Source organism: Homo sapiens, chromosome 5 (assembly GCF_000001405.40).
Source record: "Homo sapiens chromosome 5, GRCh38.p14 Primary Assembly".
Lineage (NCBI taxonomy): Eukaryota > Metazoa > Chordata > Mammalia > Primates > Hominidae > Homo > Homo sapiens.
In genome coordinates this window covers 146,912,272-146,934,335 of record NC_000005.10, presented here as the reverse complement: position 1 = coordinate 146,934,335, position 22,064 = coordinate 146,912,272, and the positions used below count along the sequence as shown (strand labels likewise).

The window sequence follows — 22,064 nt, the reverse complement described above, 5'->3', positions numbered from 1 at the left end:
GGAGAGGATGTGGAGAAATAGGAACACTTTTACACTGTTGGTGGGACTGTAAACTAGTTCAACCATTGTGGAAGTCAGTGTGGCGATTCCTCAGGGATCTAGAACTAGAAATACCATTTGACCCAGCCATCCCATTACTGGGTATATACCCAAATGACTGTAAATCATGCTGCTATAAAGACACATGCACACATATATTTATTGCAGCATTATTCACAATAGCAAAGACTTGGAACCAACCCAAATGTCCAAGAATGATAGACTTGATTAAGAAAATGTGGCACATATACACCATGGAATACTATGCAGCCATAAAAAACGATGAGTTCATGTCCTTTGTAGTGACATGGATGAAATTGGAAATCATCATTCTCAGTAAACTATCACAAGAACAAAAAACCAAACACCGCATGTTCTCACTCATAGGTGGGAATTGAACAATGAGACCACATGGACACAGGAAGGGGAACATCACACTCTGGGGACTGTTGTGGGGTGGGGGGAGGGGGAGGGATAGCATTGGGAGATACACCTAATGCTAGATGACAAGTTAGTGGGTGCAGTGCACCAGCATGGCACATGTATACATATGTAACGAACCTGCACAATGTGCACATGTACCCTAAAACTTAAAGTATAATAATAAAAGAAAAAAAAAACTTAAAAAAAAAAAAGAACTTCCGTTTGTCACGATAGGTCACATGTTCTTAAATGGGTCTCATTTTGCTTCTCTCTGGAAGCTTGGTAATCTCCCTGAAGTAGAAATTTCAGAATAAAGTGAGGTGGCCCTTAATGGTATCCCAAGTGTGGTTGATAATAGGTTTTATTTTTTTCTCTTGTTTTTTTCTCAAGAATCAGGTGTCATAGACAAAATACTTATCTGAGAGAGAATGGGAATAAAAACTCCCTAATAATCATTTTCAAAATCTTTTGATTTTTTAAAGAAATAATTAAGGTGCAGCTTTGACCTGCTCTGTAATCAGAGGATTGGGTTCCCTGGATACAGACTTTGTGCTATTCTACTTAACCAAAGAGCAACTTGGGCGTTTATCCAGGATATTCCTCAAGGATCTAATATGTTAATTGAAAAAAAATCTTAGGAAATAACTTTACAACCAAAAAATTCATCTGGTTGGAAACACATGGGATTATTTTCCAATCCCTGTTACTTGAAATCTCAGCTGCTGAAGCAAAGGATATTAAAAATATATATAAGAATTTCTCAAAGAGCAAACAGAATTAGTTACAATTCCAAGGTTGAATACAACCAGCTTTAATTAAAACAGCATATGATATAATTCCCACGTGAATATTTTAGCATGCTTAGTGCTGGTACAGGTAAAGAAACAGTTTCCTGGGCTGTCCTTCCAGATTCTCAAAGCTTCTTTGATACCTCCACAGCTGTAATATCTCTGCTAGATATAGCTTTCTCCTCTGCCCCCTTGCTCAAGGAAGTCTTCTTGATCTACTTCAGCATTTGATATCTCTCTGCATATACTAGGTGGTTAGTTTTCCTTTTCTCACTGCTCTTTGACCTTGTTTATCATGATCACAAATGGGATGTATATAAAGAAGAAGAAAGCTAGGAGAAGATTCAGCCACCTGGGCCACTAGAGTCTTCAGTCTCTTCATGGAATCTATTGTCCAAAGATCTGTTTGTTAGTCTGTTCTCATGCTGCTAATAAAGACATACCCAACACTTTGTAAAGGAAATATAATTTATAAAGGAAAGAAGTTTAGTGGACTCACAGTTCCACATGGCTGGGGAGGCCTCACAGTCATGGCAGAAGGCAAAGGAGAAGCAAAGGCCTGTCTTACGTGGCAGCAGACAAGAAAAAGTGCCAAGCAAAAAGGGGAAAAGCTCCTTTTAAAACCATGAGACCTCCTGAGAACTCACTATCACAAGAACAGCAGTATAGGGGTAACCACACCCATGATTTAATTACCTCCCACTGGGACCCTCCCACGACATGTGGGGATTATGGGAACTACCATTCAAGATGAGATTTGGGTGGGGACACAGCCAAACCATATCAATTTAATATCTTTGGTAATTCAAATTATCCTTTCAAACCAGGATAGAAAGCTGAGGGACAGGCTGATACCTTGATAAACCTTAAATACAATAGGCCTTGAATTCAAGAATCCCAGTTCCCTGGAGATGACTTTGACCTAATTTAAGGAAAACAAACAAATAAAAGGGAGTGATGTTTGTAAATAGTTACTGAATGAATGGGTGGGCCAATCTAAACGATTCAGTTCAAACATACTAAGGAAGGTTCAAAGAGTTTGAAATTCTCCTGGTGTTTCAGGAAGAATAACAGGAAATATTTCAGATTATTGCTGATGACCAGACATGGATATGCTGCTGGAGGTTGGGGGAATCCATTCACTCACACATGTGCATGCATCCACACATATGCCATGCGTGCACTCACACACAATTCTCTTTTAAATTAGTCTTCTACATTATATAGGAAAGTAACTTCTTTATTAATTGTTAAGAGAATTAAGAAGTGTTTTCCATTTATAGTCAACTCACTGTAAACTATGTTATGGAAAGAAAAAGCTAAGGTGGGGCTAATTAGAACACATAGATATTTCTCAAACCTCACTTTGGACAATTTCAGTCCTTTCTACCACCCACCCAACTTATCCCCAGGTTTTTCCCATACCTGCTAATAAGAAGCTAAAAGTGACTTCAATTTTATTCCCAGTGCCTCTTGTTTACCCTCGACTAGAGTTGCTAGGAATAATGAAATGCCTCAAAAGCCAAGAAGGAAGGAAGATGACATCTGAGTAAATCTCGATAAGCAAACAGTCAACCCTTGAATCTTTGAATTGGTGCTATAGGGTACCCTTGACTGGGGTTAAGTTGATCAAAACAGCACTGCCCATTTAGAAAGAAGAGATTATTGAGAGAGGGTGCTATTTCCGGACAGTTCCAAGAAGGCCTATTGTGAGCTAGCAGTCAAGAAATTTTGTCTCAAAGCTGCAGGGAGGTCAGCAATCTTCTTACCTCCATTTCCCATTGTGTAGCAGAAGAATAACAAGCAGATTGGATCTGCACTCAGAAACACTAAGATGGGAAACATCTTAAACCTAAAACATTTTCATCACATTACCACTTGCCAATGTATTATTGCGGAAGGTTCTGGCTTGCGTTACAGAGATATCACTTTCTCCTCCTTTCAACTATAGTTGAGCATAGAAGAGCTCAACTATAGAAGTATAGAGTATAGAACTATAGAGTATAGAAGAGCACTAAAAAAAAAATTATCTTTGGCACAATAGCAAACAAAATATTCAGGCAACTAGCTGGAACACCAGTGAGAATTTACATTCACTGGACACGTGAGGGGATCTTTATTATAATATGGTGAGCAATTAAGCTTTTGCAAGTTAAAAGTAATACCATGTGGTATTTGCTAAGCATTCTCCTGGATGTTTAGCTATTTCCAAGAGACTAGTCTCTGCATTCCAAAAAGAGAAAGGTGGAATGAGAATACATAAAAAAGAAATTTTAGACATAAAATTCTAATATCGACAAAGAGAAATGAGCTTAGGCTTCAACAAGAATGAGAGCATCAGGGTTCAAGAGAAACCACAATGTCAATGAGTCCCAGGTACAAGCTTTTTCTTCTGCATTTTTAATTCATATTCCCTTATCCTCTGAGTTGACACTTCATGTCCACCTAACCCCACTGCCCTTTTTGTGAATGGTGGAGAGAAAAGATTACCACCTTAACCTGGGAAGCCTGTTCAAAACAGGCTAGTCAATTCTCCCTGAATTGTAGAACTGTGATCATTGCCTCTCTCTTCCCATCCAGACCACTGGGCCATTGCCACAATCCCTCCAGGGCCTCTCTTCTTTCCCCCAAGAAAGAATTATAAATTGAAAAGTCATCCCACAAATAAAGACCCAGAGGGGTTAGTGTTATTTAGAGCTACAAAAAATGCTATTTTTCTCCAGCACTCCACATGACCAGCCACATGGACTTTTTATCTAATCCTGAGCAAGCCAAGCTTATTCCTCCCTTGACACATCTGTCCTTGTTGTTCCTTCTGCCTGTGCTGCTGTCCCTCCAGAGAGACCCTTGCTTGACTGGATCCTCACTGACCAGCTCTCAGTATAAGCAACCACTCCTCTGAAAATCCTTCTGGACTATTCAATCTAAAGCGGCCCTCCATTCCACTCTTTCTATCACATAACCCTGATTTATTTTCTTCATAATAGTGCCACTATCAGAAAATGTTCATCTATTGGTTTATGCGTTTCTAGTCTGTCTTCTGCCTACAGAACATAAATTCTGTGAGACCAGGGACCGATTTCTAATCTGTATCCCCAGAATCAAGGATAATAACTGGCAGATCACAGGCATTTATATCATTGTTTAATTTGTAAAATTGTGGGAGTTCTTACTATGTATTAGGCCCTCTTTACTTATATTATCTTAATTCTAACCCCAAACCTGTAATATACATACTACCTTATTTTACAGATAAAAGAGCAGAGGCTTAGAGATATCAAATAACTCTTGTAAATGGCAAGCCAAGATATAAACCCTAGTAGTCTATCTCCAGAGCCCACACGCAAAACTGCTGCTTATTTTATTTATACAATGTAATATAGAGATCTTTTTTTTGAAGTTTGAGCTTGTGTTGAATTCTTTTTTTAAATAATAAAATTAAGCCCATTTTTTTCCTGTAGGACTTCTCATAACTTTTACTATGCTAATGTACCCCATGATTGACCAAGATAAGTATATTATATCCATCATTTCCCAATCAATTTTTTTCTTTTTTTCTTTTTGCCATGGACTCTTCTTTTTCATGGAGTCTATTGACATTTCTTTTACCTATGCTCCTCCTGACATTTCTTTGGAAAGTGTTCTCACATTTGGTGCATGTTTTCTAAAACTATATCAGAACCATAGAACCACTGCTGACTTGTTCGTTCAACAGATGTTTTTTGAATGTCTATTACATGCCAGGCACATTTCTAGAAACTGTGAAATGATATGTCACTGAACAAAAGTCCCCACCCATTTTGAGTTACGTTCTAGAGAAGGAGGAGACAGATGACAAACATTAAGGATAGGAAATAAGTAAATCATATAGTAGAAAGTAATATGCTGTGAAAAGAACAGAAATGTGGGAATGAGTGAGAGGGATGTGGAAGAAGAGAGAGGTAGGCGGGCAGTGGGGACACACAGATGGGAAGGATAGGGTTTGCAATTATAAATACAGGGTGGGCGTCATTGAGAAGGTGATATCTGAGCAAAGACTTGAAGGAAGTGAGAGAATTAGTCACTTGGATATTTGAAGAAAGAGGATTTCAGGAAAAGAAAATAGCCAATGCAAAGGCTCCAAAAAGCCAGTATCATGTTTTCCGGAAGCATTAAGGATGCCAGCAAGGCTGGAAAGGAGTAAGAGGCAGTGTAGTGAAAGATGAGTGAATTGAAGAAGGTGGCAAGACAGACTATGAAGAGTATTGTAAGTCACTGAAAAGCCTTTGGCTTTTTCCCTAAGCAAAATGGGAAGCCACCAGAATGTTTTGAGTAGAAAACTGATATGATCAGCTTCATTTTTCAAAATGATCTTTCTGGCTACGATGCTGAGTATAGTATACCAGGGTTTAAGGATCACTCTGGGTGCCATGTTGAGTATGGAATATGAGAGATCAAAGTTAGAAGTAGTAAAACCAGTTGCAATAGTCCTGTGAAAGATGGTATTTCTCAGACTAGGATGGTAGCAGTGACCGTGGTAAGAAGGCACAGGGTTCTGATTCATTTTTAAAGTAAAACCAGCAGAATTTCCTGATGGTATGAGAGAGAATGAAGAGAATTAAGAATAACTTGATTTTTTTTTTGGTCTGAGCATCTGAGCAGATAAATTAATATCAATCAAGATGGAAAAAGCCTATAGGTGGAAGAGGCCCCAGGTGGGAACAGTTCAGTTTTGGGTATGGTGACTTAGAGGTGTCCTTTAGATTTCCAAGTGGAGATGGCATGTAGAGAGTTGGAGTTTGGGGGAGAGATCTGATCTAAAAAAATATATATATAAACCTAAAAAGGGCCAATAAATGGATGGGATTTAAAATCATGAAAATCGATGAAATCACCAAAGGAATAAGTGCAAAGGTTCAGAAGAAAAACTGTCACAGGAGCTGAGCTTGAGGCACAAGTAAAAAAAGACATGTTCCTCAGGAAACCAACCCCAAGCCTTGACTGATATGTGGAAGCACAGCAGATAGTGCGATGAATTATACATTTCAGCTTTGGGGACTTGAAGGTGGTCAGGTGTGGTGGCTCAGGCCTGTAATCCCAGCACTTTGGGAGGCCAAGGCGGGTGGATCACGAGGTCAGGAGTTGGAGACCAGCCTGGCCAACATGGTGAAACCCCGTCTCTACTAAAAATACAAAAATTAGCCAGGCATGGTGGCAGGTGCCTGTAATCCCGGCTACTCAGGGAACAGGAGAGAGTAGGCAGGAGAATCGCTTGAACCCAGGAGGCAGAGGTTGCAGTCAGCCGAGATCACACCACTGCACTCCAGCCTGGGTGACAGAGTGAGACTCCATCTAAAAAAAAAAAAAAAGAAGAAAGTATGGCTACAAGGTCTCATCTTCTGATCCATATAATGGCTGCCTGGAGTTCTGTCTGAGGAAGATTCTGAGACCATGTCTAGGGTTAGTGGGGAAGAAAGTTGCAGTCATTTAGTGATGTGTGCTAGAGTTGTGACAGGTGTAACAGCATGCAGGCAGCATCAGATATCCACCACTCCTTGCCTGCAGGAAAGGCCACAAGCCTAAGGATAGATGGCAAGCGGTGTTTAGAGAGTTCACTGAATGCTTTTACTTGCCGCAAGTTAATCTGCGTGGTTTATATCAATAGTACTATATAATCTGTTGCTGAAGTTATCTTATATGTGCAAGAAAGATTTTATTGCTCTAGAGCCACTAGCAAGTGTTGGACTTAAGTGTGTGAAAGGGGAAAATGAAGGAAGAAGAGAGAGACGAGTCAAAACCCAAGGCAAAGAGTGGACTTTTAGCTATGACTCTAGGAGGAGGTTGGGTAAATCCTCTTCCCAAAATGCAATGATAGAGCTGTGCAAAGTTGGAAACTTCAACTATTTGTGCTCTGGAAATCAGCCAAAGGCCTATGACAACCTGAGACGTGTTTATTTTTTAAAAATCATGGGACATCACTCAGGAACACTGGGAATCTGAGATGTTCTGACCTAGGGCTCCTCTCATCCACCTCAACCCAGCCTATAGGTTCTGCCAAGGTACAGCAAGCCATGATGACCAGTAGCTTCTCTGTAGATGTTGAAGGAGACTCAACCAGTTTGAAGAGCTGGGCAGTGCAGACACCAAGCAAAGTTGTCAATAGAAATGATCATCTTGGATGGGAGTGAGTTGGGAGGGCCATCAGCTCCATCAGCCTGAAGTTGCAGTTGTGATCAGAGACAGCATATTGCTGGCTGAGGCTGTGCATATGGGCAGTGGAGACTGAAGAGACAGAAGCCCTTTATATGCTTCTGGTTTACCCAAAGTCTCAATGCATGTGCATAGGAGACTCAAAAAGGTCCAGCAGATATCAGACTCAGGGGAGCTTGAAAAGAGCCTGAACTTTGTATATGCTCCTCTACCTGAAAATAGGTGAAAAAGGGCAAAGGATGGAAATCTTAGTGGTTTAAGGTGTTTGAACATAAATGATGTTCAATCATTAGCTGACCACTAAGGCTATACAGACACAGGAGCAACCTCTAGCAAGCCAAGTTTAAAAATAAAATCGGAGCCTGTGGTCCCAGCTACTCAGGAGGCTGAGGCAGGAGAATGGCATAAACCCGAGAGGCGGAGCTTGCAGTGAGCTGACATTGCACCACTGCACTGCCTGGGTGACACAGCAAGACTCCGTCTCGAAAACAAAAAAAAAGTAAATAAATAAATAAATAAATAAAATCAGGAATGTATATATATTTTAGACTAGCATAGGCATTAGTAGCCTAGGGGAAACAGATTTCACAGATTTAGTCCAGGAAAGTTACAAACAAAATACCAGCAACAACCACCATAAAGGGAAAAAAAATATCAGAATTCAGAGTCGTTGCAATGTGTTATCTTAAATGTCCCATTTTTAAGAAAAAAAAGTGTTACCCATACTCAAGAAAAGAAAAACAGTTAATAGAAACTCTGTGTTACCAAATATTCGTGGACAAAAATTTCAAGGCAGCTATTATAAATATTTCCAAAGAACTAAAGCAAGCCATGTTTAAAGAATTAAAGAAAAGTGGGGTAACAAGAGATCAACAAATAGATTCTTAATAAGGATATTGAATTTATTTTAAAAATACCAGGTGAAAATTCTGTAGCTGAAGGGTACAATAATGGTAATTTAAAATTTTTCACTAGAGAGTTCAACAACAGATTTGAGAGACAAGGAATCAGTGAACTATAAATCAATAGAAATTACTCAATCTAGAGAATGGTGAGAAAACAGACTGCAGTAAAATTAACAGGCCCTCAAAAACCTGTGGGACAAGCTCAAGCACAGAAACAACCATGTCAGGGGAATGTCGGAAGGAGAGAAGAGAAAGGGACAGAAAACCTATTTGAAAAAATAATGGCCAAAACTTCCAAAATTTGATTTTTTAGAAAATTAATCTATACACCCAAGAAGCTCAAAGAAACCCAAGCAGGATAAATACAAATAGATCCACACTTGAACACATCATTGTCAAACTGTTGTATGCCAAATCCAAAGAGAAAATCTTGAAAGCAGCAAGAAGAATAGCACGCACCATAGAAAGGTGAGCATCCATGCAATTAAGCTGGCTTCTCATCTAAAACCATGGATGCCAGAAGGAAGAAGAATAGCACATCCATACTGCAAAAAGAAAATAATGTCAAACAAGAATTCTGTATCTAACAAAACTATCCTTCAAAAATGAGGGCAAAATAAGGACATTTTTGGATAAACAGAGACTGAGCAAATGTATTGCTAGCAGCCCTGTTTTAAAAGATGTACCAAAGGAAGGAAGGCCTTCCGGAAATGGTACTCTATGATAGCACAAATCCACAGGAAAAAATGAAGAGCACTGTAAATGATAACTATGTTAGTATAAAAGATTCCATAAAATATATTTTTTCTCCTTTTTCCCAATTTCTTTAAAAGACATAGGACTGTGTGAAACAATAATTTTAACACTGTAGTGTTGGGTTTGTAACATGTATAGATTTAATATATAGGACAGTAATAGCACAAAGGAGGGAAGAGGGAATGGCAGTATATTGGAGCAAACTTCTTGTATTTTCTGGAGTTAAATTACTGTTAACCAAAAGAAGATCATGATACATTAAAACGCATATGGTGAACCAACCCAAATGCCCATCAGTGATAGACTGGATAAAGAAAATGTAGCACATATACACCGTGGAATACTATGCAGCCATAAAAAAGGATGAGTTGATGTCCTTTGCAGGGACATGGATGAAGCTGGAAACCATCATTCTCAGCAAACTAACACATTCTTTTTGCTCCTTGTGATTTTTAGTAAAGAGGGAAATAAAAATCTATAACAAGCAGGATGGCCTACATAATTCTGGACACAAAGCAAAATGAAAAGTTATGGTCCCTTATTCAAAAAGTATTTCAAATTTCAGGATGGTGAAAGCAGATCATAAACCTAAACAAGGAGGCCCTTCTGACCACAGGGTCCTGTGTGACTGCACAAGTTGTTCATCTATGAAGCTGGCCCTAATAAAAAGCAAGAGGCTACTGTATCCCATTTTCTCACTCTCTGGATAACCCCCTTTGGTGACTCCTGTTGTCCTGTCCTTTCTTATCCTTGTACTTAAAATCTCCAGTACTTGGGAAGGGCCCATCCTTCACAATCAGAAGTCCAAGAGACCAGATCCAAGCTGTTACTTCAACTTCAGGCAGCTACCATTATACTTTGGTGAAGATGGTTTTGCATTGAAACCTGTAATTCTCTTATTTGTGCTGACTTTGTGCTTTTCAGTTGCAGTTGTCCTTGTAAGCAAAGACAGCACAGGGGTGTCAGAGAAGAACATCATTATCTAAGTAGCTGATATTTTCTTTAACTTTTATTTTAAGTTCACAGGTACAAGTGCAGGTTTGTTACATAGATAAACTTGTGTCATGGGGATTTGTTGTACAGATTATTTCATCTCCCAGGCATTAAGCCTAGTACCCATTAGTTATTTTTCCTGATCCTCTCCCTCCTTCCACCCTTCATCCTCCAAAAGGCCCCAGTGTGTGTTGTTCCCCTCTATGTGTCCATATGTTTTCATCATTTAGCTCCCACTTATGAGAACATGCTGTACTTGGTTTTCTGTTCCTGTGTTAGTTTGGTAAGGATAATGGCCTCCAGGTCCATCTATGTCCCTGCAAAGGAACAAACTACCATTTCTTCTTTCCTGTGGCTGCATAGTAGTCCACGGTGTATATGTACCATATTTTCTTTATCCAGTCTATCACTGATGGGCCTTTGGGTGGATTTCATGTGTTTGCTATTGTGAATAGTGCTGCAATAAACATATGTGTGCATGTGTCTTTTATGATAGAATGATGTATATTCTTTTGGGTATATACCCAGTAATGGGATTGCTGGGTCAAATGGTATTTCTGATTTTAGGTCTTTGAGGAATTGCCACACTGTCTTCAATAATGGCTGAATTAATTTGCACTCCTACCATTCACTAATTCCTTTGAAAATGTTTAGTATTTGTGAAACCCAAGAAGGGCTTCCGACAAACCCACTAGGGATCGTGCTGGGCTAAGCTGATCTGTTTATTAGGAATGCCAATGGTGCAATGGTCTAACTGTGCAATGATCTTATCGTGTTTTCATAATTAGGCTTTGGGACTGCCATAGGGAGAATCAACTCGAACACAGTTCACTCGTGTCAAACACACTTGAGAGCGCTCTGGAAGATCACTGCCATACATCATGCAATCCAGTTCTACTTAGGCTCTGACAGGTACATTTTGCCTGTTTCAAGTTTGTGATGAGCTAATAAGTGGTCCCCTCTGGTCCTTCAGACCTCTGTCATACTTGTTTTTCTGGAAAAAGAAGAGTAAATATGAGGATGAGCATGAAACAATCAAAGTTGTCACCTAGATATATTGAGAATCTTTTAGTGTCAAGTCAGAGAAAATCTGGCTCAAAACCGGCTAAACAAAAAAAGAAATTTAGACTCTCATGTAGCGGAAAAACCTGGAGCTGTCAAAGCTTTGGAGCAAGGCTTGATTACATGGCTCACCTATGTCATCAAATGAAATACTTTTTTCCATTTTTCTTCTTGGCTTCCTATGACATCTCGCTTACTCCTAAAGCTGAATTCCATTACACTTCCAAAATTATTTCCACTATCTTCCGGATCTTTATTGTTCTACATGAATCTCCAACAGGGAGAGAGAACCTCTTCCCTCGTAGTTCTCTGAGCCAGGAAGCATTTTTTCCCAGAAGCCCCAGCAAACACCTCCTTGTTTCTCACTGGCCTGAACTGAGTCTTCTGATTTTAACTGATCACTGCAGCAAAGCCAATGGGATGTGCTGATGGGCTTAAACCACCCAGAGTTCTACTCTAGAACTGAGAGTAGGGTGTACTTCCTCCAAGCACATGGGCTATATGGGTAAAGGTACTGTTACCAGGATAGTGGGAGAATGCTATGTGCTGAGAGGGTTAAACTAGCAAAAGCCTATTATCCCACCATTAGGAAACATTGACTATTGTGAAGTCAGTGGCCACCAGACCCTGAGCTCCCCGCCCCATGTGCTGTGGAGTCTAGGATGTTGAAGAGAGCTGGGAGGAGATGCCAAGAACACTAGGCTGCTTCCTACCATCTAGCTTACAGTCCAACATGTGAGTAACACCAATACAAATGAAAAGCCATCAAATGTGTCCAATAGTGAATATCATCCCGGCAGTCTCTGAGCTAGGAGGGAGAGTCCTGGAGAGGTGTTTATTTTCTGATATAAAAAAGGTAAGGTGAGCTTTCATTTTGATACACAGTACTAACAATAATCCTTGATATCATGCACACTTGGAAGAAAACAGAAAAGTAGAAACTGCAAAGGTTTAATCTTAACCACCAAGGGGATGCAGAAGCTAATTGATATTAAGGTATTCATTCATTCTACCAATATTTATCAATGTCTGCTATGTACTTAACCCTCAACTAGGCACCATATTGGATAGGTACAGTTTAGCATAGGTACAGTTTAGCATACAGTTTAGCAAAGGCTTTAGAATCTTTCAGACCTAGGGATGAATCCCAGTTCTGTCACTCAGCCTCTCTGAGCCTCATTTGCCTCATGGTAAAGTGAAGATATACCTACCTTAAGTGGCTGTTGTAAATATTAAATGACAAGAAGAAATAAAAGTTAAATAAATTAAAGCACTCATCCAAGTGACTTGCACATTTATAGCCATAAGAAATGGTAGGCATCTAAATAATTAATAGTAGTAGTACTTGTTGTTATACTTGAATGGCTAGTGAGACATGGTCTCTGTTCTTAAGATGCCTTTCTAGGGGAGGAGGTGTGGAATGTGTACAGGTAATGAGTGTCAGAAGAGAAACAGAGATGAACTGATACAGAGAAGCAGAGATGAACTGATATAGAAGTTCACAGGAAGATGAAATTTCTTCTCCATTTTGAGAGCTGAGAAGGCTCACCAATATGTATTTTACATGCAGAAGCTAGCAGGATTATGTTTAACTTTAGGTGACATCTTTTGAGTCTTTTCTCATGTCTCTCTAAGAAACGAAATCTTAAGTGTCAGTAAAAGCTTGTAAGAGAAAGATACACGAGCAATGCTGACACTTGCATAAGCACGTGTGCTCTAGGGAATGCGAGTTGCTGGATGTCTCCACTGCTCTGTCCCACCTCACATGAGAGATGAAATTGTTGTTGCCTGTCCATGTGGCAAAAGGAGTAGCTGCTTGATTCATGGTTTAGTTGGGGCTATCAGGTTGTACTCCCAAAGGCATTTGATAATCTGTTCAGCTGAGCACAGTCATTTGTCTTGTTTGCTGACTACTTAGCAGATGAATTTGTGATTTTGGTAATTACTATGTGAACATTAATAAGACATGATATCTTTTATTAATTAGCACTTTATGGGGTTTTTCAAAATAGCAAAATCTAGATGATTTACAAATATTAATGAGTCACTAGTATTAGTTTTGCAAAATTAACATTTGGAGGTTATTCACTCTAGAATAGTTTTTCCCTCTGAAGTCTTTTACTGAAGAACAAAGACCAGAGACAACATACTGTACCCTGCACCCTAGAAAAGACTAATTTGGTCTGCCCAGGCAGAAATGGTTTAATTTAGAGATGTACTTACTTAACACATTTTTCCATTTTAATTCTCTCCAAAGAGGTTTTGGTGGTCAAAGGATAAAATACTTTCAGAAAATTAAGTTATGCTTGAGGAATGATTTTCTAACAGAATTCTATGAGATTCAGACCTGTTTTTCAAACGTAGGGGATACTGCAGACGTACCCACCCACTCCCCTACAAAACAAACACACACACACACAGCATAAAAGGACACAACAGTGTGCTGGAGCAGTGTGCTGGAACAGGTTGGCAGGAGCTTCATTCTGCTCTGGGGCTCTCTCCCCCGTAGCCAGCCTCTTCCTTCCATGTACACACGTACCAGCAAGCCATCATGAAAAGCCACTTCCTAGCAGGGACTGGCAGTCATGAAGTTATGTAGCAAAGAACAGCATCTTTAGTAGGTTAACTCAGTCGGAAAGCACTTCTGAACAAAGCAATCAGGTGGCATATTGTTACTGCCCTCCCTGAAGAACTCATTTAATGACTCTTAGAACGGTACAATTTCCTTTAAAGATCCAGATGCCTACTGTGCTTTAAACTGCCTGCACGGCCCATGGTTGACAGCCTCAACAAGCATTTCTTGAGCACCCACTGTGTGCCTCTCACTGTATTGGGCCTGGTAAGGGCTTTATAGCACACAGCAAAGACAGCCTGTGCCAGGCAGGGTGTAGAGCCCATGTCACTAGTTATTACGGGAGCAACTATGATGCAACTTGCTTTTGCCACTAAATTTAAACTAGCAAATAGACTCAAAGGAAGAGATTGTTCATCTTTTCTGCCCAGCCACCTTTTCAGAAACCCAAATAATTCCTATAATGTAGGGATTATTTGTAATAATTACTATAACCTTCATGTACGGCCTGATTATGTGCCACATATTATGCAGTTTACCTTTGTTTTCTCACTTCTCACAAAGATATCTTTGGTAATTACTTATATTTGTAAGCCCATTTTTTAGATGAGCAAATTCATGATTAAGATATTAAGTAACTTATCAAAAGTTACACAACTATTAAGAGGCAGAGCTATATCAGTGGCTGCCATGATACGCAAACTGGTTTAATTAATTTTCTAAATAAACGTTTAATTCAGTGCCCAACTATTTTTCTTATTACAAGTCACAAAATTGAAACTACTGAGCTTTTCACCTGTAAAGTTGCTATTCTGGCATAGTCTACAGATTAAACATTAAACACTCAACTACATAGCAAGAATCTGGAGCTATTGTTTGGGCTGTCCATGGAGATGTCTTTGCCAACTGTGTCCAGTTGTGGCAGGTGAGTCCTTCAGGGGCACCCCATTAAAAGGGTGTATGAACATAGTCATCTGCTGCCCCACAGAAGTGGGCGCTGGTATGGGAGAATGTGCGGAAGACAGAGCCTGTCTCAGCTGGGTGGTCTGTTGCTCTGGCTTTGTCTTTGTTGCCTGGGCAACATCTCTCTCAGAATGTGAGAAACTCACTTTCTCTTTTGCATGTTGATCTGTGGGAAGGACTAACAGCTGTAGCTATAGGTTGCCTGTTATCCACTACCACCTATAGTTGAGAAACAGAAACCAGATTTTGGGGAGGTAAACCATCAGGCCCAGGGTGCAGAAAGATATTAAATCACTGAGCTTCTTTTATGTAGCTCTGAAATTAGTTGGGAAAAAGATCACCTCCCTGAATCCTGGGAGCTTTTTCTACTAAATTTTTCTCTAAGACAAATATCCTGTAGAAATATTCTTTATTTTTCCTGTGATAGCTGGAGGGAATTTTGAGAAGACAGTGCTGTAGAGTAATTGTGAACATGGGTTTTGACATCAGTCTTTGATTCAAAGCTTGGCTTCACCATATGCTAATTATGTCTTTGGGCAAGTTATTTAACTCCTCTTAACCTGTTTCCTCATCTAGGAAATGGGAACTTTCATATATAGGTTTTGCATATAATTGATTTCTAATTATTTATTCAAAGTCTACTCGTGTCAGGCATTCAGCTAGAGGCTAGTGAAACAACTGTGAATTAGTAGACACGGTGTCAGCCTTCGTAGAGGTTAAATCTAGCAGAAAAGGTGCAATTTAAATAGTCATTTCAAGTATTGAGTTACAAAAGAGTTTTTCCTCTTTTTTAACCTTGGAAGCAAACAACAGGGAAAACTGGAGATAGCCTCTTCAGGAAAAAAAATAGTAAGGTCTTAAAGGGAGGTATGAGATAATCAGGTGACTAGTGGGAGAAATGTGGTTACAAGGGAATATATTTAAAGGCCTATTGGCAAGACAAAGTATAAACACAGGAAGAACCAAAAGTATAGATGAGACCAGACCCATCCAGAAAGGGGCAGAGTGGTATTAGATGAGGTTGAGAGAGAGGCAAAAGTTTGTGGAATCTCAGAGAGTCTCATAAACTATGTTAAAACATTTGGACTTTATCCTAAAGGCAATGGGAAGTCCTTAAAGGATTTAAATGAGAGGGCTATATAGAGAAGTTGTGAATATTGAATAAAATAATATTCACAAATGCTTAGCCTACTATTAGTACCTATTTACCTCTCAATAAATGCAAGCTGCCATTATCATCAACTTCATCATTCTAAGTATTACCAACTTTAGGTAAAAGGCAAAAATCCTGCCCCATACTATGGAAAGAAACTTAGGTAGTTTGTGGTGGAGCAAACATGGAAATCCTGAAAGGCTGGGAAAACCATTCTCAACTTGCAGTAGTGCAGAGCCCAAGGCGAGTTTCCCTTCATATATATTCTTCCTCCTGTTTCTTTGCTTCTCTGCCTTGCTACCTCCACAGTGAATTCACAGCTTGTTAAGCAGTGAAGTCATAATTCTTTCTGGCAGTTCTGTCATTTTCATAATGGATTCTTTGCTTGAGCCTAAACATACAAAAATGCAGGTAGACAAGATTATATGTTTTCAAGGAAAGCCAGTGCCAGGGATGGGGGACTGCAGGGAGTGTGAGGGGGCATCTTACTGCAGGAAGTTTGAGGCAGCAGCTCTGAAAAGCAGATAGCTTGCATAATGACATGTATCCATCTGTATTTGAGATGACTCTGTTTTAATCAGGAGGAGATGTCAGATTGCTTGGCACTTTACTGTTAAACAGATACTTCGCATCCTTGAGTAGCAAATAAAACAACAGGACTCAGTAAAAGGTGAGGAAAGCAAAATGTATCATTTCTAAGTTCATTAGACTGCTCACATTGCTTCACCTCAGATCTTGCTACAGATAGATTATGAAATAAGATTGAACTAAAGAATTGAAGAGGTTGATTTTGCCAGCCACTGTGGTATTAGAATATTAACTGGGAGGCAGAAGATACATATTTATTTATTTGTAACCCACCTTATTTATAAAAAATGTGAAGGGACCAAGTCAATTAGGTTCTAGAACCAACTCTACCATTAATTGTGTGCCCTTGGGCATAACTTTGAACCTCTATATAAATGAAGATCCTTATTTATAAAATGGATTTCTTAAATTGATAGACACCAATGAGCAGAATAAACATTTTTTTGGCTCTGAGGCTCATATATAATGCTGTACAAGGAATGACCTTTTACTGAGGTAGGCGCTTGGTGACAAAAGCACAAACATAGATAATGGCAGTCGAGGAGGGTATATAGCAAGGATCAAAAAGTGGCATCGGAAAACACAAGCATTTCTTGAGCACCCACTGTGTGCCTCACACTGTATTGGGCCTGGCAAAGGCTTTATAGTGCACAGCAAAGACAGCCTGTGCAGGCAGGGTGTAGAGCCCATGTCGCTGGTTATTACAGGAGCAACTATGATGCAGCTTGCTTTTGCCACTAAATTTAAATCAGCAAATAGACTCAAAGGAAGAGATTGTTCATCTTTTCTGCCCAGCCACCTTTTCAGAAACCCAAATAATTCCTATAATATAGGGATTATTTGTAATAATTGCTATAACCTTCACTTAAGGCCTGATTACATGCCACACATTATGTACTTTACCTTCGTTTTCTTACTTCTCACAAAAATACCTTTGGTAATTACTTATATTTGTATAAGTAATTTTTAGATGAGCAAATTCATGATTAAGATGTTAAGTAACTTATCAAAAGTTACACAGCTATTAAGAGGCAGAGCTATATCAGTGGCTGCCATGATATGCAAACTGGTTCAATTTAATTTTCTAAATAAATGTTTAATTCAGTGCCCAACTTTTTTTCTTACTACAAGTCACAAAATTGAAACTACTGAGCTTTTCACCTGTAGAGTTGCTATTCTGGCATAGTCTACAGATTAAACATTAAACACTCAACTACATAGCAAGAATCTGGAGCTACTGTTTGGAGCTGAGTGAGTATGGACTCACTCAGATGGATGAGGGAAGTCAATACAGTTTAGTTGTGGGATACGGGTTTTTAATCAGAAAAAAACCTGGCTTGGAATACTCTGTCATGTATTAGCTGCATGCATTCATTCATTTATTTCACATACCTCAGGTGCCAGTCACGTGTCAGATATTGAGTTTGGCTGTAGGAGTACAATAGCAACCAAGACAGATAAAGAAGAATGAAGGAAAGTCACCTGCTTTAGTTCTCTCTGTCACTCTCTGCCCAGCATTCATACTTGAAATCATTTGATTAAATATATAATGAGACCTACTATATACTCAAAGAGATAGAACTTCCTCTGAGTCGTCAAAAAAAAAAAAAACGGTGGTAACATGTGGTTAGAATTTTCTTTTTTTTCACTCTTCTGGGATGAAAAGAACTTGAATAACTCAAAAATTGAAATGCCTTTTAAAAGTACTAACCCTTTGCATTTTTTTGTTGTGGGTAATGTGGTGTTTCAAAACAGATATTTAAGTACAAACCGTGGGTCAGATGCTGTACAAACCTCTTCAAAGTGATACAATTTTTTATTTTCTTTAGAGATGCTATACTAATGTATTGTCTTCAAGGAGCTTTTAGTTTAATGGGAAACATAACTCACCCCAAAGTGAAAGTCACGTGTCTTACAAGTCCGGTTTCTAAAAACATGACTTTTCCATCACCCCTGGAGGGTGAGAATTCAGAGTAATGAGGCAGTAAGTTTTCTTAAAAGAGTTTCATTGCAAAAAAGGATGAGAAGACAAAGATGTTGTAACAGTGTTGAAATTGATTTTTTTTGTCTTGGTTAATGATTTTTAAATATTAGCAAGGAGGAGGCAAGCACAAGAATTTGGGCAGAGGAGAAGGGCCCAATAACAGTGATTTTTGTTGTAGTGGCTCAGAATGCAGCATAATATATAAACCAAATAGAATGGTAACCTGGAAAGGAACAAAGGCCAGTGAATCTATGAGTCAGTCGTTAAGGAAATATTATGTTTCTTTCTCTAACTCTGCACCTGAGTGTGACAGCTAAACTTAGGGTAAAGGAACAACATCTTCAGGACAGAGGGCTGAATGCCTGGAGTGCTAAAATTTCACATAGTGGCAATTGTTATGAAGGAATAGCAGTGGGGGAGGGGTATGTAAATTGCACACATGTGTACGTGTGTGTGTGTGTGTGTGTGTGTGTACATAGGTAGAATGACTTCTTTGGATTTATTGAGTAGGAGGGGAAGATGATGTATGAATGAGAGAGAGCTGGGCATGCAAAGGGCTGTAAGAAGAATGTTTTGCATTGAATGCCAGGGTGAGCAATTTGAATTTTTCTCCGAATCCAAGTGGCAGACATTGGAGGATTTTAAGTAGAAGAATGACATGATCTGATTCACATTTATTTTAAAAATTTTTTCCTGGCTACTTGGCAGAGTACAGCAAATTTCAAGAGGCAAAATTAGATGTAAGAAAACCAGTGAGGAGGCTGTTACCAAGCCCAGATGAAAGATGATGGTGGCTTGGACCAGACTGGTAGTAGTGAAGATAGATAAGGATATATCTGAGAGCAATGTAGTACATAAAACCTTGAATCTTCTGTTAAATTTGATATGGAGAATAAAAGAAAAGAGAAAAAACAACATCTTGATTTTTTAGCTCTCTAATGTGTGCATTTTAACCAGAACATCTTTATGAAAATGACCTTTTTGGAAGCCACTGTCGATTCGAATACTGAAAGTGGAGGACTAGTAGGGGAGATACATTTGAGCTAGAGAAAGACTTTAAGTACCCTGGCCCTAAATTGTACCACACAAGATATGCCAACTCCCACTAGGTCTTGGATCTTCCATTTGGGCTACCAAATCTGCTGTCTACATTATGTAGCCAAAGAAATGGCTTTGTTCATAAAACCCAACCCTATACTTATTCATCAACATATGACCTTTATTCTTTGCCAGTGTCCCCATCTACTCATGTCTCATCCTCAAATTAGGGCCAACCTGGCCAACAACATTTTTTTGCAGCAATAGCTCCTTTACACCATATGAATGCCTAATTGGTTCCCAGATTTTAAGTGCTTTTAAAAGCTGATTATGTCAGGAGATCAAATTTGTTGATACAGATGCATACTAAAGTTGAAGATCACCAGAGATTAGAATGGTGCCCAGGAAAGCATACAAATCATTAATTTTGGAGGTGATCTTTACATAGGTTGTAATGACGTACCAGGATGCAGTGCAGTGGGACAATTGTGTAAACTGCCACCACCCTAACCACTGCTTCCCAAAGGACCCCATGGATGTTCTCCTCTGAGTCCAAGTTACACAAGCTTGACAAGCAGAAAGCATGTGGCCTCTATTTTGCATTTCATCTTGCTCATAATAGAAGGTCTTCTTTAACGGGAAAAGAAAATGTATGGCAATAAATCTTTAAAAGTATTGTAACATTCAAACTGTCAATATTGGTTTTAAATTATTGCATCATTTTCTGAAATAATGAATGTCATGAATTGTAATTAATTTACATATGCACTAAGTCCACTTTCAAAGAAACCCTCTTTTCTCTTTCAAACATTGGAAATTAAATATTTATAGTTGTTGTGATTTCATATATACATAGTTAATATTGCCTCTCAAAGCCACCTGCTCTCCACCATATGTCATTTTGTTTGCTGATTCCTTATAACCTCATAGATTTGAAGTTGGGTTGGCCAGAACAAAAATCCTACCAAAGACCACGTAAGTAGTAAGTGAAAAGCACTGAGCTAGGTCCATTTTAGTAGGACGTAGGAGGTAAATGGGGAGTAAATAGTCCCATCACCTTTAAGTATCCCTTTTTGCAGTTTAATTCACTAAAGGATTTAAGAGTTTAGCTTTTAGTCCTTAAAGTTGAATGATTGGGCAGCAATCAATGTATATTTATGGTATTAGAGAGCGTTCCTCAAATTTTGCATCTCTCAATTCAGTTTATGTTTTTCAAAATAAAGATGAGCATACAAACCAAGAACCATGTCTTGTGGGGTCCTCAGCTAAAGGCAAAGTGGAGATCAAGAGACCGAGTGAGCTGTTTTAATGTGATGTTTGAAAAAAAAAACATTGAAAATGAGAAAATCAAAAAGTAAAGAGGCCTAGAATATAAATAGAATTTCAGTCATTACTGGAACTATATGTTGGCCTCTATTTCTTTCAATTTTTACTAAGCATAGAACTTCCTTGCATGTTTCTGCCTTGGATGTAGGGCTACTTTGAAAGTGTGGGCTAAGATGGCCAGACACTGTAATGGGAGAGAGTAAGACCCTTGGAGTCCTCCCTGCCTTTCTTAAACATGGGATGGCTGCGTGTGAAGACTACCTCTTCCAAAGCATCAATCCTTTCCCTCTGCCTTCTCCTACCATCCTGAAGAGGCAATAATAATAACAAGGACAAACATTTATTTGGCACTGTTTCTGTTTTAAGCACTTGACTCTATGCTTCTAAAATCACAGGAAATAGACTATTTCCGCCGAATATAAACTCATTCTTGCCTTCAGAACATCTTACCTGCATGGGCAGACAGGGCCTCCAGAGGACAGCTGCATTCCAAAAAAGCCTGAAATAAAGCATTAGGCAAGTATCTGCCTACAGGGCTGAACACATAGTGTTTTTAACAACATTTTCTGCAAGTTAGGTGAGAGTTTCTTGGCTATAGATAGGATTTGAACTTACCAGCATATAATCCCCAGAAGAGCTTGGACTAGTCTTTTTTCCATATGACGGTAGTACTTGACACATTGAAGAGACTTACTTGGTGTTTGTTATGAATTAATAAGCAGATGAATGAATGAATCAAAAGTTGAAAGAGGCCGGGTGCGGTGGCTCACGTCTGTAATCCCAGCACTTTGGGAGGCCGAAGCGAGCGGATCACAAGGTCAGGAGTTCAAGACCAGCCTGACCAATATTGTGAAACCCCGTCTCTACTAAAAATACAAAAAAAAATTAGCCAGGCATGGTGGCACACGCCTGTAATCCCAGCTACTCAGGAGGCCAAGGCAGGAGAATTGCTTGAACCCAGGTTGTGGTGAGCCGAGATCGTGCCACTGCACTCCAGCCTGGGCGACAGAGGGAGACTCTGTCTCAAAAACAAAAAAAAAAAAAGAAAAAAGAAAAGTTGAAAGAACAAGAGATCGTGGATATGTCAACTCTGCAAGTATGCAGAATGCCTAAATATCCCCCCTCTATTCTTTCTTTCAGAATGCTCACTCTCTCCCCACTACTCTTCATGTGTATACCTCCCACTCATTCTTCAGATGTTACCTCAGAAAATCTCCTCATTCAGGAAGTGGCCACTGATTCCTCAGATGATAAGGTCACTCTCTTTAGGGTATGCTGTACCTCT

General features: G+C 39.2%; 1 protein-coding gene and 2 long non-coding RNA genes across 9 annotated transcripts in view; 2 read left to right on the top strand and 1 right to left on the bottom strand.

Moving 5' to 3' along the window:
* Positions 1-22,064, top strand: part of PPP2R2B (protein phosphatase 2 regulatory subunit Bbeta) — a 500,779-nt gene that overhangs the window by 147,185 nt on the left and 331,530 nt on the right. The gene's annotated exons all lie outside the window — the stretch shown is intronic.
* LOC105378214 (uncharacterized) lies at positions 10,798-15,985 on the bottom strand. Of its 2 annotated transcripts, none has more exons than XR_944386.3 (2): positions 15,900-15,985; positions 10,798-11,087 (listed from the first exon to the last, which is right to left on the bottom strand). It is a non-coding gene; the product is annotated as an uncharacterized LOC105378214 (long non-coding RNA). The 2 variants fall into 2 exon arrangements; XR_944385.3 differs by lacking the exon at positions 15,900-15,985 and adding an exon at positions 11,288-11,376.
* Positions 14,830-20,129, top strand: PPP2R2B-IT1 (PPP2R2B intronic transcript 1). The gene is made up of 4 exons (NR_047115.1): positions 14,830-14,944; positions 15,948-15,962; positions 16,425-16,513; positions 19,902-20,129. It is a non-coding gene; the product is annotated as a PPP2R2B intronic transcript 1 (long non-coding RNA).